Source organism: Homo sapiens, chromosome 6 (assembly GCF_000001405.40).
Source record: "Homo sapiens chromosome 6, GRCh38.p14 Primary Assembly".
Classification (NCBI taxonomy): Eukaryota; Metazoa; Chordata; class Mammalia; order Primates; family Hominidae; genus Homo; species Homo sapiens.
Window position 1 is genome coordinate 55,248,996 of NC_000006.12, and position 20,424 is coordinate 55,269,419.

General features: G+C 32.7%; 1 protein-coding gene across 3 annotated transcripts in view; it reads left to right on the top strand.

The window, feature by feature from the left end:
- Positions 1-20,424, top strand: part of HCRTR2 (hypocretin receptor 2) — a 178,245-nt gene that overhangs the window by 142,527 nt on the left and 15,294 nt on the right. For all 3 annotated transcript variants that reach the window (XM_017010798.2, NM_001526.5, NM_001384272.1), the window contains 2 exons: positions 6,141-6,384; positions 14,712-14,827. In XM_017010798.2, coding sequence (XP_016866287.1) covers positions 6,141-6,384; positions 14,712-14,827 — 360 coding nt within the window. The remainder of the gene's footprint in view (positions 1-6,140; positions 6,385-14,711; positions 14,828-20,424) is intronic.

The following is a 20,424-nucleotide window of genomic DNA, read 5'->3' on the forward strand; positions in this document are numbered from 1 at the left end:
AGCAATGAACTGCCAAATCATCATTAGATGCTGCACAAACATTTTTGCACAACTTTTTTGATTACTAATTTGATTCCAAAAGTTTGATTTTGCACAAACTTTTTTTATTCCAAATTTGATCCCAAAAGTTTGATTTTGCGCAAACTTTTTTGATTCCTAATTTCCCCATTGTTAAATAAGAAACTTGAACCAATTAATGATTTAACCAATTAATGATCTCCCCAAACCAATTATTGATCTTTCTCTTGAACCAATTAATGATCTGCCAGTCCAAGTCATTGAGCATATTTGTTTTTACAAGTGATTTTATTTTATACTGAAGAATTAAGACCTACTTGGTCAAATCAGTGCCATGAACAGGTTTTAGTGTAGATTCTAATTCAAACTACCGGATTTGGAATCTCCGTTCTGCCATTCACCAATTGTATGCTATCAAGCCAAATAGTTGTAATTCACTTATTTAAAAGAATAATTTAAATGAGATCTACCTCATATGGTTGCTGTGACCATTTACTTACATAATTCATATAAATAAGTTGGCACAGTGATTACCCTCTGGAAGAGATGATCTTATAAAAACAGTATATTCTCAATAAACATCAATTATCAGCATCAGAATCATCATTACTAGGTGTTTTTCTTTCCTTAAGAGTGAAAACAGCTTCTTTTTCTATTTAATTGCCATTTCAGTAATTAAGAATGAATACTTTCAGAGATTAGTGTTCTGATTGTTATTATAGCTCTAAAATTTTTGAAACAAAAGATTCATCAGATAATGTTCACATTCACTCATCCATCCTAAAAGATGGATTTCCCTTAGGAATTGGACAGCAAATGAAATGGTGACCACTCTCTGCTTGTCTTCCCATAGCTTTCCTGCACCCTCAGTTTTTACGCCATGCAGTCTCCCAGATGGTGCCTATAATATTTTAAGAAAACAGAAAATAAGCTCCCAGTAACAAAAAATTAGGGAGGGGTCACAAATAGCCTATTACTAGACATTATGCCGATTAGGCTTTTGGAATGAAATGTTGCAAAGAGATATTTAGTTCAATAGTTCCTCAATTACCTCTTATAAAAAGAAGTGAAAAATTTTTAAGGTTAAACATTGTTTATAGAATAGTAAGTGGAAAATACTATAGAAGTTATAAGCTCCATGCATATATTATGTTTAATTATAAAGCTAGTTTGGATCAGCCTGCTGAAAATCATGAATGGATTACAAAACGAACAGTAGCACATTTTTTTGTGTGTGAGGAAAAACTACATGGGACAATAGAGAAAAATATTCTCATAGAGGAAAAGTTAGTAAGAAATGAATGGCTCTGGTGGTGTTTGCATAGAGGCACTAGGAAAGTAATACATTTCAGATAATTCTAATATTTCATTATCTCTGTGGTACTTCCAGAAAGCCTTTTACCTCTCTTGGTTTCAATAACTACCCAGGAGAATATTTTGAGGATTCTCTTAAGTTTTGGGATGGCTGCAGTTGCCCAGAATCTTCAACTGACTGGTAACATTTCATGTTCTCTCTGTGAAACAGAAGATTCCCTGGTGGGAAGTGAAGTGATAAGGGCAGGTGCAGTCATGTGCTAATGCACAGCGATAGCTTTCTGCAGAGCAGGCATCTCAGAGTTTCCTGTGAGTATTTGCATTAGAGGACAGAATGGAAGCAGTGTAACCAGTGAGTGATGCAGAGCATGGGTATCTCTTATAATCACTTACAGTCCTCTTTCACACAGCAGAACTATTTAACAAGTCCTACAGTTCAAGGAATATCCTCATCTCTGGAAGGATTCTGTCTGCCTCTCTGCACACAGTGTCCAATCTAATCAATTCCTTAGCTGCTCCTCTTCTCCATAGAGCAAGGGAAAAAACTACTGGGTAACCACATGATGCAAAAGACTAGATCCATTTGTTACCCCATCTAACATTACTTCTTGATGGAAAGGTGTAAATGCACCAAGAGATTGGTGCACAGGTAAAACTAGTATCTCCAAATTCTTCATATTTATTGCCTCATTTTTCATAGAATGTTCCCAAATGCAATGAACAGTGCCAATGGGCAATAAACATATAATTTAAATTTGAGCAGATTTTCTCCCTAGTTGTGACATTCTGTAACTAATGACTTATATCCCTGATATGATATTTATGTCTTACTGAATATTTAAAAACATGTTACATCATGCCCAGCCACATTTTAAAGTTATTTGGTTGCATTTTAGATTACTTGGACGTTTATTAATTTGCTATAATTTATATGTTCTTTTTCTTCTAAATACAATACAGCCTTTAGATTTATGAGTGATATGCTGTAACGCATTGGCAAATGCACAAAAATCTCAAAAGTCTCACAAATGTTATAAAGCTTAGCTGAATAATTAAAATGACTCTTTTGTATCTTTAATAATTGCATAACTCCAAGACCATTAACATGTATTCAGCTATTTGCTGAACAATTATCATGTATTTCACTTCTCTTCCAACAATGACAAGAGCATTGGTTACTTTTTCAGAGTGATTTTTTTTAACTGCAGAAGACGCCCTACACAGAAAATGCCAGAAAAAAAAGAAGCCAAGTGAGATGTGGGAGGTGGGCAGTGGGTGGTCAAACAAGCTCCCTCTCTTTCAGTCATACTTTGAAACCTTTCTACCTATTAGTGCTTATCATCCAAATCTGTGATTTGGCAAAATTTTCATTTCTCCTTATAGTGAATCTTTAAGATACCTTTGCCGTATCTATTTGCTAGTATAAAACAGTGGACTTCTCTACTAAAGGAAATCCCCAAACATTATCCTGTGCGAAGGGTGCCCATAGTATAGGTCAAAGACCAAGTACCTGAAGGCAGAAGAAAGTTCCCATTATCTCACTCCACTTCATTCTCAACATTCATAATCCACACTAGATTCATTTCTCAAATGACTTACTATTCAACAAACTTGAGCTAATATCAGAATCCAAATGAAAAAGACACCCAGAAGTGCACTCTTAGAAGTTAAAAGCAACAACAAAACTTTCACTTATAATTACTTATGATAAAATGCAATTTTACATCACCTCCAAGAAAATCTTATACATTGCACATAATTGTATATTAATGTGTTAATTGCACAAGCAAATATAGTAGGTCAAACAATGAATATTAGCTCACTGATTGTCAAGGGTTCATTCAATGGATTGGTTCATTCTACTGTTAGATACATCACACTAGCATATTCCTCCCTTTTCTGTGTGATGAAGGGCAGTGCTCCCTGGGTCACTATTGGCACTGGATGTCAGTCTTCCAAGTGAACTGATATGAATTGATTATTATGACCTAATGGCATTAGGAAACACTAGAAATGACATTGATATTTGAACCATGCTACATCTATCCCATTTATCCATGTTGATTAAATTAATGGATTATAAATTACTAAGGCTTGATGAACACTTTGTACTTCTAATTGCTAGAGAGGATTGATATATCTCTAGCCCAGAAGCTATGAAAAGGCGACTGTGCGAATCTATACAACCATAGTTCTATTCCCAGGTTAGCAATGGTATTGAGGGGCCCTAGGTGCTTAACTTATTTGCAGAGAAGGAATGGAGGTTGTAGAGAATAAGGTGATACTGGTTTGAGAAAGAGAGTTGAAGGTACCCTCAGGTAGCACTAAGAAATTTCTAGGAGTCACTAATCAACTTAAGCCCATTCTCATAGAGTCCAGCCCCTTAAAATTACACTTAAAATGAAATTAGCCTCCAATAATTTAGCAAAGGTTAGGCTTTCACTTGTAATTTCTATGAATATTCTTCTCTGAAAAGCAATCTGTTCCAATTAAAATATAGAACTTCAGACTCAAGAATGAAAGATAAAACTAATAGTATCATCATCATTATTATTATTATAATCATAAGAAATAGTAAACACACAGCACTTATATGCCAGCCCTGGAATAGACATTTTCATCTCAACTAACTGTCCATACAATTCCATGGTTAGGTACTATTAATCATCCACATTTTACAGATGAGAAAACTGAGGAATGGAGAGGTTAAATAATCTCCTTAAGATCACTCCATATGTCAGATGGGATTCATGCCCAGAAAACCTGGTTGCAGACTCGATTCCAGCTATACTCTTCTGCCTCTCCCATAGAGAAACAAAAGAATCATACTTGATAAGAATCTTATCCTGTTGATTTACTTCATTTAGCACACACACACACACACACACACGCAACACACAACACACAACACACACATTAGGCCTAAAGCTGTAAAGTGAGTGACTCAATAGTGTGCAGCTAGCTGATCAGAGAGAGAGAACAGATAGTTCATCCTGACAGCCCAGAGACTTTCTGCACTGTTGCACTGGATCTTAGATCTCTTTCACTCATTTGTACCTATAATCAACATATCAACAAGAAAGGTCCTCATGTAAAAGACAGAGATAACTACCCTTTCCACATATTATGAGATCAATATAACCAGGACAGAAAAATAGAAGAAGATGACTGGACTATATCTACTGCCTTCAATTAAGGCTCACCACTATTAATGGATTAACAAATATTTGTTTTAAAGACACATGCAAGTATACGTTCACTGCAGCACTATTCACAATAACAAAAACGTGGAATCAACCTAAATGCCCATCAATGATAGACTGGATAAAGATAATGTGGTACATATACACCATGGAATACTATGCAACCATAAAAAAGAATGAGATCATGTCCTTTGCAGCAACATGAAAGGTGCTGGAGGCCATTATCCTTAGCAAACAAATGCAGGAACAGAAAAGCAAATACTACATGTTCTCATTTATAAATGGGAGCTAAATGATGAGAACACATGGACACATAAAGGGGAACAACACGCACTGGGGCCTTTCAGAGGGTAGAGGGTGGGAGAAGGGAGAGGATCAGGAAAAATAACCAGTGGATACTTGGATTAATACCTGGGTGATGAAATAATCTGTACAGCAAACACCCATGACAGACATTTATCTATGTAACAAACCTGCTCATGTACCCCTGAAATTAAAATAGAAGTTAAAAACAAAATATTTCTTAAATGCATAATGGATATCAAATGTTGTATCAGATATTGGGGACACAGTTGTGAAAAAAACAGAAGCAGTCCCTCCTACCACAGAGCTTTGTTCCAATAGAGAAAACAGATGATAAATAAGCAAATTAAGCAAATAATTTACTACATTATACATGCTGAAAGAAAAATAAATAACAATCTGTAAAAAAAAATGTAAAAGAAATCAGAAGTCTTTTTAAAGGGAGAGGGGATTCTGAGAGTGATATCAGAATCAATATTTCATCCAGTATAAGAGAGCACATTGAACATAATTACATTAACTAATAATGTGGATATATGAATTTTTAAAATTTTTTGTTGTTGTTATTTCCTTAAAGTGTCAAGTTAAAGAATGATTTGTGGCATTGTTAATTATATACAAATTTTGACTGGGTGAACTTACCTAGTTTTTGGAATCACATTGACTAGGCTAGCAGTGAGCAAACTGTCATAAGGAGATTCGCATACAAAATTCTCTTTTAATATGACTCGTAACTTTCCTTGGGTGCTACATGTTGAAAATGCACTGATGTACAAATAGCCCTTATTATTTGAAAATATGAAATAAGCTACCCATAATTTAAAAATGTTAATTAAATATAATTTCAATCAAATTTCTATGTGGTAATTTAGAAGAAAGACATATTATTCTTTATAATTGAGGCTTTTCCAGTTTGGACTAAACATATGTGTTTTTTTTTTTCTATATGAGGGTATGATTTCTTCCAATCAATGGAAAAATTACAGGACAAAATAATTACAGTAATTATTTAAAGAATGCCATATTATAAATTAAGACATTTGGAGTAAAAAAAGATTGCAAAGTTTTCATCATACCTTTTCATGTTTAACAATAAATTTACATTTAAAAGTATATTTCTAATATTTCATTTTTGTGATATAATTTCTTTTTAAATAGAAAGCACTTGCATGGATTGTTTATTTTTGGCAGCTTTGAATTTGCTTATATGTTGTGACTACCTTTCTCATATAGTAAATATATTAAGAGTAATTCTTTTAACAGCTGGTGCTTCTCTATTACTATGATCTTTCTTTTCTCTAGACCGTGTCGGTGTCTGTGTCTGTCCTCACACTGAGCTGTATCGCCTTGGATCGGTGGTATGCAATCTGTCACCCTTTGATGTTTAAGAGCACAGCAAAGCGGGCCCGTAACAGCATTGTCATCATCTGGATTGTCTCCTGCATTATAATGATTCCTCAGGCCATCGTCATGGAGTGCAGCACCGTGTTCCCAGGCTTAGCCAATAAAACCACCCTCTTTACGGTGTGTGATGAGCGCTGGGGTGGTAAGTACCTTATGGCCCATCAACTGACATTTATATTACAGCAGCAAATTGAAAATTGGATTAGCATAGCCATTGTAAAGCTGGGCTTATATATTTTATTGACATTTGTGAATACAGTTTTGCAAGAGCATGAAAACCAACTTGAATTTCAAAACAATTTCACAGAATAACTCTACCTATCTGAATCCTTTGGAAATGTTATCTATTATTTTCTCATTTTCATATCTTTTGGATAGGAAATGAAAGGAGATTATTCTACAATTCAGATTTGATTATTTTAGTTTTTCTTAAACTCTTTAAACAAAAAGCAATATGGAATACAAATCCGATTATGTATTCTGGAATGATCCACGATTTATAAGATGGTTCAACACTGTGTTGTCTAGTGTCAGGGTCCCTAATGGGCTTCAAATACAACTGAATTTTTTCATTTTAAGACCATGTCCTGGATCACATGGTCCTGGGAACATGGCCAGAGTCAGCATGTGGTTCTCTAAGTCAAATAATCCAAATTTGTTTTCTCTATTCATAATACATTATTGCTACTCGCATAATTATTATCCAGTTTAAGAATTATATTAATTATGAATCAATCTGGTTTCCCATCTGACAAGTATGATGTGAAATTTAAGCAATCAGGTTTGAAGGCTTTATGTTTCTTTGGTTAGAAATTCTTAGAGTCAGTCTGAGGTTTTTGTGTAACAGTGAGAATACTGCTATCAACACCTGGTGCTAGCACAAATCTGGGCACAGGAAAGAATGACAGAAAATAAAATAACCCTGCATTTCAGCATAGCATGCACTGATTCCAATATATCATATGAAATATATATTTAAAAAAAAACCAATCTGACCTCTTCTAGGTAAGTATACTAAAATGGCTGATATTTAGAGAATTCATATGTTAACATTGTTTTTTATTAGAAAGATGTATCAAAACAAGCAGTGCACACCAGGGACTGATTAAGGATAATATTCTTAAATATTGTAATCTTTGAATTTCTGTTATTTCCTACCTTGGTGTTTGTACTAGAACACCGAAAGGAAAAAAAGCCAATCACTGATATATTAGGCATATACTACAGGATATATCTACAGCAAGATAATATTTAAGAGAGGCTGGGATTATTTCATATATTGTTGCAAGACCTATAATAACTAAAATTTTATAATTTGCTTTATCTATTACCCCAAATATCAAATATCTGTCTTTTATTGGGATTTACTTTTCCTTTTTAACATTCCAACTTTTTTTTGCTGTATTTTTCTCTGTATCATTTTCAGTTTTTTCCAATTTTCCAAATTAATAGTGCAGACAAAAAAAAAATCAATGGAAATTTCCAAAATGGTAGGAATATTTATGAAGTGTCTTATGTCCCATTCATTTAATGCTCAAACACCACCTTGAGAACTTAGTATATGTCAGGCATTGTGCCCACCTGGAGAGAAACAGACTCTGCTTACGGGAGCACACTCTATATAATAAGGCTCAAAGGCCAATAAACAAATTTTTATAGGGTAATCAGTATTTTAATATATTTATATACAAAATGCTGAGAACACAAATGAGAGAACAAACTCAGTTCTGGCCATTTGAACAAAAGTTTACAGAGGAACTGCTAACATTCCAGCAGAACATTAAAGATAAGCAAAAATTCTCCAGACTGAGAAGAGGGAAAAGGATGTCCAGAAAGCAAGAAAATCCACATCATGGATACTACATTACAAAGCAGAAAGAGTGAATCAGCACTTGTAGTTTCTGGAACATAGGGGCAGATAGTGTAAATAATTGAATTTTGAAACAAGATGGGTTGGGGACTGACTGTGACATGTCTCTTATACGATCCTTTTACACTGGTTTATATTTAGAAAGCCTAAAAAGGTCTTTCTCAGAATCCTGTATTAAACTCGAGACTAAATTTAACCCTAGAAAGATTATATTATTTTTTCAAGATTATGAAGCAAATAGGTACATTTAAATCTAAAGCTTCCAACTTGTAAGTTGGGATTCCTTAAGTTTTATAGGGATTGCTATTAGATAAAATATAAAAATATTTTTCAATATGTGTCAGCAGTATTTTCTCTAATATTCCGGCAATTAGTTTCACTTATATGTTTATGGGTTGCTTTTATAAGCTTTTCTTTTTTTAATGTTTCCCTGAATAATCAAGTAACAGTAACCTCCATTAACAAAAAGATTGCAAAGTCATGGATTCCTGTTCAGTTATTATGATTATGTAAATAGACGTATGATTTTTAAATTACCTCTGAGTGGTAAATATAAATACATAAAGCTCATTTCTACTCTGATATTTTATTACATAACTCTAGCATGGACATTTTCATTAAAAAAAGGAAACAATTGTTGAATATGTAAAAACCTAAACTTAGCCTTCAGAAGTCATTTAAGAAAACTATTTGAAGGTGATTTTATAATAGCCTATAATTAAATGCTTGTAAAGACTAAAATTAAGTATTATTGGACTGAATTGATTAGCTACAAAATCCAACTTAGTAAAAGCTATACAGTCATTTAAATATTAAATGAAATTGCTAAGAATATTTTTAAGAAAAAATAATTCAAGGCAGATTTTTATCTTTCTTATTAGATATTTATTATGATGATTTCTACATAGCATGTAAAATCATTGTTCATGTAAACTATTTATAAGTCCATGTTCGACTTATAATGTTAAACCTTTGTATATGTGTGATTGTCACAACTTTTTAAAAAACCATAGGAAAGTATATTTTACAGTGTCATCTCTCTAAATTCAAATATTTTTAAAGGCCAACTGTCATTTAGCCTGATTTTTAAAACTATTGTAAAATATCTTCTATTTGAGATTAATTCATAATCTGTGTTTCTTATCTTTATTCTAAGTTAAATCAATAATGTAGTTATAAAAGTAGAGAGTAGAATCATAATTATCCTACAACCAATGTGGCAGTGGAAAAAAATTTGGAAAAGCAATTTGGTCAGTTGATACATATCTATCAAATAACTTTTGGAAAAGTTCTGTAAATGCTGTTTTACTCATGGTGCAAAATAACTGAGAACTCTGTCTAACTAAAAAATTTACCAGCAATATGTAATTATATATGGATAAATGATTTCTAAAACTAATTATATTCATTATTGCCTATTACTTCTTCATAAAAAGAACCATAAGCCATGATTTCTGGCAGACACACACAACACTCAAGAACATATAAATAATGTAAATACTTATTTTAATAACCTTTAAAATATACATTTGTATGTGTTCACTGTTTGCTTCAGTCACATCATTTCATACTTCTAAAATTATTAAATTAACCCACAATTTCTTGCTTGCTTGGTTTGTAAATGCATAGTTCTACAGGAAAGATCCTACAGAAAGAAATTCTTTGCTGGGTGTGGTGGCTCAAGCCTGTAATCCCAGCACTTTGGGAGGCCGAGATGGGCGGATCATGAGGTCAGGAGTTGGAGACCAGCCTGGCCAACATGGTGAAACCCCGTCTCTACTGAAAACACAAAAATTAGCTGGGCATGGTGGTGGGCGCCTGTAATTCCAGCTACTCGGGAAGCTGAGGCAGGACAATCGCTTGAAACCGAAAGGCGGAGGTTGCAGTGAGCCGAGATCATGGCACTGCACTCCAGCCTGGGCAAAAGAGCAAGACACCATCTTCAAAAAGAGAGAAAATAACTCTTTTTGTACACTCAATCAAAGTTATATTTTCTTCACTATTCATTCATCCAGTGTTTAATTAGCATGTACCCTTGGTCAATTGTTCTGGACACTGGAGATTAGTAGCATCTCTCTTTTTGAATATTACTGACAAATTGTTCTTTGGTAGGCTAAAAAAAAAAAAATGGAACCATTTTTACAGTCAAAGTAATTATGGCATCTGGCCTATTATGAGGTTTGAAAGCATATAAATATGTGTATAAGTCTATTAATGGGAAGATTTATTAAACATATTTATTAGGGAGAAGATAGTAAAACATATTAAAGATTCAGGTAAACTTAATGAACCCCTAAACTTTGAAAAGACATTCCATGTTGAATATTGGGAAATTATATTTAATTTACTTGTTCATTCAATTCCTGATAAGTGTACCATGAAAGAGGAATGTTTCTAGTTTCTAGATAATTAAGATAACATGCTGGCTGAATAATGAACCTTAAGTCATCTGAGAGAAATTAAGTTTTGCCTGTCAAATATACAATATAACTCTTTAATCTCTGATTTCAAAGACTAAAGATCCACATTTGTTCCTTATTAGTTAGTTTCATATATATATATATAAAATTTATTTAGATTGTGCTTATTCATCAGTTGAGTAAAAACAGTAATTTTTAATGATTATCAATATTTAAAACTTTTTTAAATTAAAGTAATGCTTATGTGAAACAAATTTTGTGTAGTTATATTCTAGGTTATATACAAATGTCTTAAATACATTGAAGACATTGCTTATGAAGTACAGAAAGACTTCAAAGATATTTTCATCACACATAATTTAAAATTTCAATGGCATATCTGAGTTTTTAATCAGCTTAGACTATCATGTTTCCCTAGTTATCTATTATAATCTCCTTATTCAAACAATCTATCCTACCCTGGAAGGATAATTTTGCTTGATCTTTTTTCCATATCAGTGTTCATTATAATAATTTGCATTTAGCAGTCAATTACATATTTTTTCTAATTATTCATAAATATACCAACCACATAGGAGCTTTTGCTACCATCTATTCAAAACGCCAAACTGTTATCACAGTGATGCTATCCATAGCTGCAGTGGAAAAAATTTACCTCTCAAATCTACTTTCCTCTATCCACTCAATTGGTCTTATGCAGACAACAGGGCTTCGCAGGTATGTAAGCTTCAAAGTTATATAGATTTTGTCATGAGGAAAGCTCATGTGACACCTCTTCAAAACAAATAAAAGTTCAAAGCCTCTTAGGTGCCTGGGAAGTGCTGAGATCACTTTCAGATTCCTTTGAAATTGGCCCGCCATATGCTGTGTAGGCTGTGGCACTTCAAAGGGAAAGACTGTTATTTCTCAAGTCAGAATGCTTGAATGTTATCACTTTTTATGTAACTGGCCTGCTTTACAGGATCAACTTGAAAGAAAGTTGGAAACTGATGAGGTAGGTGAGTGCTACCTGGGCCAGAGAGTAGCTAAAAATGACACCTCAAATTGGTCTCTTAGACCTGCCAACACATGCATCCTACTGACCCTGCTGAAGACTGCAGCGGATAAAGACATCTAAACCAAAAGAGAAGATGGGTTTAGAAGCATGAATATGGAGAAAATTAGACTCAAACTCAACTGCATCTGAAAGACAGCCTATGGAAATAAGATTGTGGAGGATATTAAACTCATAAATATGTTAAAATATATCCAGCAAGAATCAAATGCATGATTGCTCAATAAATATTATCTATTATTATGACAATCATCATGCTTATTATTGATTAATCCTGACTGTAAACTGCTCTTATCACAAATCTGATCACATAACCAAGCTTTCATGCTTCTACATCCCCTTTATGAAGTAATGAAAAGAATAAAATACATAGAGGTAATAGCATTATTCCTCAACAATACTATGGGATAAACCCCCTTGTCAATAGAAAAGTCAAAACAAAGTATGTAAATTTTAGAAGAAAAACAAAACAGCTCTGTTGTGTTAGCATTCAATTAGAATTATAATGAGTTAATTACATTTAATATCTATGGAATCTATGCAAGATATATTGCTTCCTCTTTTACATTGCAGTAAAAGTAGGTAGACCATTGTGATATATTCGAATACAAGTACAAAAATATCTTCTAAAATCTACAGGGAACTCAAACAAATCAGGAAGAAAAAATGCAAACAATCTTATCAAAAGTTGGCTAAGAACATGAATAGACAATTCTCAAAAGAAGGTATACAAATAGCCAACAAGCATATGAAAAAATGTTCAGTATCACTAAGAATCAGGGAAATGCAAATCAAAACCACAATGCAATACCACTTTTTTTTTTATTTTTTATTTTATTTTTTGATGGAGCCTCGCACTGTCGCCCAGGCTGGAGTGCAGTGGCATGATCTCAGCTCTCTGCGACCTCCACCTCCCAAGTTCAAACGATACTCCTGCCTTGGTCTCCCAAAGTACTGGGATTACAGACGTGAGCCTGTAATTGGTGTCTGGCCAATACCACCTTACTCTTACAAGGATGGCCATAATCAAAAAGCCAAAAAATTAAGGACATTGGAATGAATGTGGTGGAGAGGGAACACTTTTACACTGCTGGTGGGAATGTAAGCTAGTACGACAACTATGGAAAACAGTGTGGAGATTCCTTAAAGAACTAAAAGTAGATCTACTATTTGATCCATCAATCTCCCTACTCTGGTAGCTACCCAGAGGAAAATAAGCCATTATACTAAAAAGATACCTGCACATGCATGTTTACAGCAGCACAATTCGCAAATGGAAAAATATAGAACCAGCCCAAATGCCCATCAATCAATGAGGGAATAAAAATATGTGGTATGTATATAGCATAGAATACTACTTAGCCATAAAAAGGAACGAAATAATGGCATTCCCAGCAACCTGGAGGGATTTGGAGACCATTATTCTAAGTGAAGTAATTCAGGAATGGAAAACCAAACAACATATGTTCTCACTCATAAGTGGGAGGATGCAAAGGCATAAGAATGATAAAATGGACTTCAGGTACTCAGGGGAAAGTGAGGGAGAGGGGGTGAAGGATAAAAGACCACAGATTGGGTAAAGTGTACACTGCATGGGTGATAGATGCACCAAAATCTCAGAAATCACCACTGAAGATTCATGTAACCAAACACCAACTGTTTCCCCAAAACCTATCGGAATAAAAAATTAAAAAAATACATACATACAAAAATTCAGATTCCCGACATAATATATAAATATATATTATATGTTATATATAATATTATATATAAATATATAATGTATTATAGTTATATATAATATTATATATAAATATATAATGTATTATATGTTATATATAATATTACATATAAATATCTATTAATATATATTATTTATATTATATCTAAATATATAATATATAACTTATTATTATATATTATAATATAACTTATATATTATATATAATATATATAATATAATATAACTTATTATATATTATATATTTATATATAAATAAAATATGTACTATATTAATATATGAATATATCTAATATTAATATACAATATATAAATTTATAAATATATAATGATTATATATTATATAATATATAAAATATATATTATGTAGGGAATCTGAATTTATTTATGTATTTATGTACATATATAAGGTAGGGAATATATATATATGTATTAGGTAGGGAATATATATATATATATATATATCTTCTAGAGCATTTACAAAGTTAGTAATCAATATAATTTAGAAAAGCTAAAATATTAAACCACAATGCCATGAAGTGATTAATCGACTTATTCGTAAGTGTCTAATCTGTGATGTGTATCATTTGTGTACATAGGATTAATTATAAATAAAAAATTACTACAGTCCTAGAGGTGTTTATGCTTAATAAGTGAGAAAATATTCATATTGGATTGGAGAAAATAAATGTTATAAAGCCTTAAAATTCTCATTTTTATTAAAAGTATATACATGTATTTTTAATAAAAGCATACACACACCACAGACATACTATGCTTAAAGAGGAATTTTGTATATGTTCCAATAAGTCAACAAAAATAATCATTGTCAAATTTGTATTGTATTTAGTTTTCAAAATTTTTTTCACATTTGTATTTGGAGATACAACTGAGAATAGCCTCCCATTTCTCAGGGAACTTACATTCTAATAAGGAACAACCAACTGAGTTTATATTTTCTTCCCATTTTAACCAAAGCATTAGTTTTTAGGTTTTCATTGATTCATGTCCCTTTTTGTAAATAAAAGTTTAGAACAACCCAAATTAATTTTGTTAATTAGCCAGATGTAATCAAGTCAAATAAAGGGCCTTTTAATAACTGAACACTTGACTTTGGGTAGCACAAATTAAGAAATAGCTAATGCTTATTTTTCTGAGTACATTAAGTGAAATTACGACTTCACATTTGGCATGTGTATACCCATATACTGAGTAAAATAAGTTGTTAAATATTATGAATTATTTTTCCCCTTTGCATACATAATATGACAATGAAATCATATAAAAGGTAAATATGCACTTTGAAGAAAAGCATTGACATGTATCTTTTTTAAAAGTCCATCAATTGTAACGTAAGGTTTTGTTGTTTTGACTTTCATCCTAGGTGAAATTTATCCCAAGATGTACCACATCTGTTTCTTTCTGGTGACATACATGGCACCACTGTGTCTCATGGTGTTGGCTTATCTGCAAATATTTCGCAAACTCTGGTGTCGACAGGTATATAGTTTCAAATATTTTGCGTGCATTATTCCTCCACACATAATTTGTTATTTGTTATTCCTTCCAAATATTTTGTCTGTGCTTTTTTTTTAGGATGCACTTATAAACAAAATTTAAGAATGCATTGAACCAATATAACATGTTCATAAAAGTATTATATTGTGTGTTCTTTTAAAGTAATGAGAACCCAGACATAGAAATATGTCTAGGCATTTTTAGAGTAATATTCAGGAAATGTATTTTATAAACTGATTAAGTACTTTACATTTTAAATAAAATTTAACATCTGTGATTAATTGTCTTTTGTCTAGGAATAACACTAATTTCGCTTTCTATGAGAAATAGCAAATAAAAATTCCTTTAGAGATTTTTGAGACTCTAAGTCTGAAAGGTTATATTTGTAATCAGATTTATTTAAAACATTGGAACATATAGGTTAAATCTCCAACTTCAAAGATCTTATTTTTTAGAATATTATAAGAATCAGGCAGAATGTATAATTTTAAAAACTGTATATAATGCTGATTTGGGGTTACTACACTTTGTTAGATAATTCTGCTGTATCAGTGAATGTTTGTATTCATTCACTCAGTTATTCATTCCTGAAATACATATCATGAACTTTTCACATACATGTCTCACACAAAAGCTAAAAATTCTACTTTTTGCCATTGAGGAATTCATAGTCTAGAGGAGGGGCATCATCAGATGCAGGGCGAAAATTACTTTAAATATAAGCACAGAGAATCAGAGCAAAATGTACTAAAACCATATCTAATACAGGAAAGGTAACATTTAACTTAAACCTTGATGATTTGAAGGATATTACCAACAAACACATTTAGTGGTTTGTAAGATAGAGACAAAAAGGATATGGCTCAGTCTCTCCCATTTTGTAAAATGTATCTTAAAATGCCACAATTCTTAGAGATGTATTTCTCTCGTTCTCTAAACTTACTGCCGATACTTACTTTATCAGGCTTGTGGAAGGACATGCCATTAGTCTGTTTTCTCTGACACATTTTATCCAACTGAAAAGATTTACTGGAGTCACCTTAATTCATTAAAAAGATTTCACAAACACTTTATTTGGTCTTTGAGGATGTGTCTTTGTTTTTTTAATCAACACTTGTTATTCAAAGCATTTTTCAAGATCATCTTTCACTGACTGGATATGAGCAACACTCATTTTTTTTAACACTATATGGCTCATAATTTCAATATTTTCTCTTTTCCTCTGCTATTACAAAGAAGTCATTTCTTTTATGACCTTACAAGTGAAACCAGTAGCAACATTTATTAACATTTTGTTTCCCATCATTTTTTACTATAAAAACTAATGTGGACCACTATAAAATATGAGTGGTGATTTTCTAGATGTTGGTGACAGTTTTCTCAGCACTCTCCACCTCCCTATGAAGCCAATGCTTATATTTTAGGGTGTTTGTTACTGCAGCATCCTGCTTCCTAGTACCTATTATTGTATCTGTCAGGTTTTGCTAGGTTATTATTCTTCTATTAAAAAATGTGGTTTGCAACAACAGTTCTGTTTCACTCCTATTACAGGTCAGTGGGGAGGGCTGGCTGGGGCACTGTGCTCCATTTGTTTTCTCATTCCAGAACCTAGTCTGAAGAAATGGCACTTTCTGGGACATGGCATTCTGAGACTGAGAGAAAAAGAAAACTGGAAGAAAAGTATATTTTCTTTTAATGTCTTTTATGAACCGGCATGTGTTACATCTCACTTTTCATTGGCTAAAACAAGTCACGTGGTTAAACTTGATCATGAAGAGGGGACACATTCTTCTCTGACAGAAAGACATCACACATCACAGGGTAATGGGGAGCTTCCTACAAGCTGGGGATGAATGATCTGGAATGATACACTATACAGAAGTCAAAAACACAAGGGCCAGACTGCATGAATTTAAATCCTGACTCCACCAAGTAGTAGTGACATGAATTTTGTAAATGGCTTAAATTTTTGTGACTCCCTTTATTAACTTTAAAATGGGGTTGTATAGCATCTTCCTCATAGGTTTGGTACATGCATTCAGGTGTGTCCAAGGGAGAGAACACCGTCGTGGGTTCTCAGTTTCTATTTCTATTTGGGCCAGTAAAACCCCTTCCTATCCCTCTTTTCTGCTTATTACTAGAGACAGAAACTAAAAACCAGGGCTTCAGGCTGCTAAAAGCCTAAAACAAAACAAAACAAAACTACAACAACAAAATAAGGTGGGTTGGACAAGCTTGCTTAGATGAATTAACTCAAGTGCCTAAATATAGACAGTGCTCATTAAACAAAATATCTTAATGGATGTTGTTTAATAATGGCCTCTCAACTAATTGTACTTACATTTAAATAGCAAGCATGTGTTGAATTGGTATATGTGACTATTTTTTAAAAAATGCACATTGAAATACCAGTATGGTGCTTCTTATTTGTCTGGTTCTTCTACTCTACTAAGATAAAGATAGTCTCGCTGTCATCTTTGTATCCCTATAAATAGCACATGCTCAGCACACATCAGTTGCTTTTTTCATAAGAACAAAGTGAGTAGAATAGGAGAAAGTGCTGGGAAAGTTTAGAGAGGACATAGAGAATCTATTGCCCAGTTACTCCGATAAACATTTGTAGAAATGGATTAGAATCTGAAAAATTTCTTGAAGGGGAAAAAGCAATTAATGAGCATGTAGGAATAAAGATATTTTAGATTTAGATTCAGATTTTGTTGGGGAATGTTCAGTGTTAAGATTATCCCCTATTTCCTTATTTTTACTAGTTAGTGTGCATTGTATAAAAGGTATGCTTATAATTTCTTATTCATTTATTTACAAATTGACATACCTTTAAAACTCTTTCAAGGTTGCAATGTATCTGTCTTGTTACTTTTACATGGTAAAACTTTACCATGATACCATGGTTACCCTAAAGTTTACATGGTACCATCAGAGAAAATGTTTTAAAAAGTTTGTTAAATGAATGAGTGACACCAAAATCCAAACATTTTAATTTTCCACCATTTAAGCATATAGTTTGACATTTCCCAAACTCTAAAATAAATTTTAAAATAAATTGCATCACAGATTCATAAATAATCCACATTCTTTTCATGAATTATCCTCATTAGTACAAGCCACATGATTCAGAAGATTTGCAGTAAAATGCTTGGGCTGTGAAACTAAAGTCATTTACAAAACAGATTGGAATGGAAAATACCAAGTTCAGCTGAACTCACTTTAGCAGCCACAATAAAGTGAATTAACCCCAAATGCGTGATTACATAGAATTCTGCTTGAGCAACTCTCAATTTCCAACTGTTAGTGTCTATAAACAAAGTTGTAAGGCATTATGCGTGCCATAGGCTACATCAAGTGAGCCATCAAATGAAGAGCTTGTCCTATTTGCTTAAAATTACAGAGATGCATGAAATCTGTTATGTACTTTTGAATTAGTAAGTGTAAGATTATTAGTGAGCAAATTGTGTGTCCTTGTCTGACTTTCTCAAGAAGTTTAAGCCTCATTAAAAGAATTAGCTAATGCATTGCTGTGAACTACTTAAATTCTCTCTCTCTCTGTTTTTTTTTTTTTTTTTGGCAATTCGACTCAGAGTACTCAGGAAATTCTACAGATTATTTGCTAAAACTTATTTTTTTAAAGAACTTAGCTTGCTTGACTCTTTCATTTATCTGTCAGCATTTTTTCTAGTTCAGACCCTTCATATAATTCAACACTAAATCTTAATCGTCATGTGCTTGTGTTAATTTATTTCACATTTATTAAGCACGTACTCTGTGTCAGCTATGGTGTGAGGTACTGAGGATGGACTGTAATAGATATTTGGGTCTGAAACTATAGTTCAGCTTTTCAGGGCCTTTGAAAGACCTTCTTGTTCCCAGCTCTTATCACAAAGTTTTCTGCTGCTCTTTATTCAGCACTCTTCTAAGGGAACTTAAGATAAATAATATTTGATGATGACAAATCAGTCTAGTGTGAGAAAATAGGCAGCAAACAAATTACAATTGCAGGGGCAGAATCAGGAAGGCAGTAACTCGAGTCCATACAAAAAAAAATAAGGAGCACCAGTAAAGGTAACTACATAGGTAAATACTGTAGACAGAATAAACATATTTATCTTCTGTTATCTGATGTAAAGAACAACTGCATAAAATAATAGCTATAAAATTGTGAAGATTCACCTTATAATGTATACAGATGTAGTTCAAAAAAGGAGGAGGAAATGGAGCTGTATTGGAGCAAATTTGTTTTATACTATTGAAATTACATTGGCATAATCTAAGCAGCTTGTTTAGATTAAGTTGCTAATTTTAATTCCTGGTGTAACCACTAAGAAAATAATTTTTTGAAGAATGTAGAAATATAGGTAAAGTAACAAAAGAATTAAAATAGTATACAGAAAATATTTAACACAAAATAAAGCAGTAGTGAGGAAATAGAGGAAGACAAGAGATACAATATATATAAGTCACAAATAGTAAAATGGCAGATATATATTATATTTTCTTAATAATTAGATTAAATGTAAATGGATACAATACTTCAATCAAAGGGCATAGATTGACATAATAGATAAAAACCAACCAATAATTTAAAAAAACCCATGATCCAACTTTATGCTGTCTACAAGAGACATACCTTGTATTCAGATATACAAATAGGTTAAATGTAAAATAACAGAAGTAGTACTAAAATAATCACAAAAAGGGAGTTAATGTGGTTATACTAAAATTAGACAAAATAAATTTTAACAAAATATTACTATACATAGAGAGGGACATTTCATAATGATGATGGAGTTGATCCATCAGGAAGATATAAAAGTTGTAAACATACATGCATTTAGCCACTGAAACCCAAAATATACCAAGCAAAAAGTAGTAGAATTAAGGAGACAAGTAGGCAGCTAGACAATTATAGTTGAAAATGTTAATACTCACTTGTAGTAATGGATAGAAAACACAGGCAGGGTGCGGTGGCTCACCCCTGTAATCCCAGCACTTTGGGAGGCTGAGGCGGGTGGATCACGAGGTCAGAAGATTGAGACCATCCTAGCTAACATGGTGAAACCTCGTCTCTACTAAAGATACAAAAAATTAGCCGGGTGAGGTGGGGGGCACCTGTAGTCCTAGCTGCTCAGGAGGCTGAGGCAGGAGAATGGCGTGAACCCGGGGGGTGGAGCCTGCAGTGAACAGAGATCGTGCCACTGCACTCCAGCCTGGGCAACAGCAAGACTCCGTCTCAAAAAAAAAAAAAAAAAAAGAAATAAAGAAAAAACAGGCAGAATAGCAACAAGGAAATAAAAGATTTAAACAAACTATGAAACCACTGGGCTTAACAGATATTTTAGAACACTCCACCAAAAACAGAAGAATGCATATTTATCCCATTTGCACATAAAACATTTTCCAGGTTTTCTGACTAAAGTCAGAAACAAGACAAGTATGTCTGCTACAACCATTTTCATTCAATGTTGAACAGAACTGATTCTTTTCAGGGCAAACAGGCAAGAGATAATATTAACAATAATAAAAAATAAAAGGCATGACGATCACAAAATAAGAGGTAAACTATT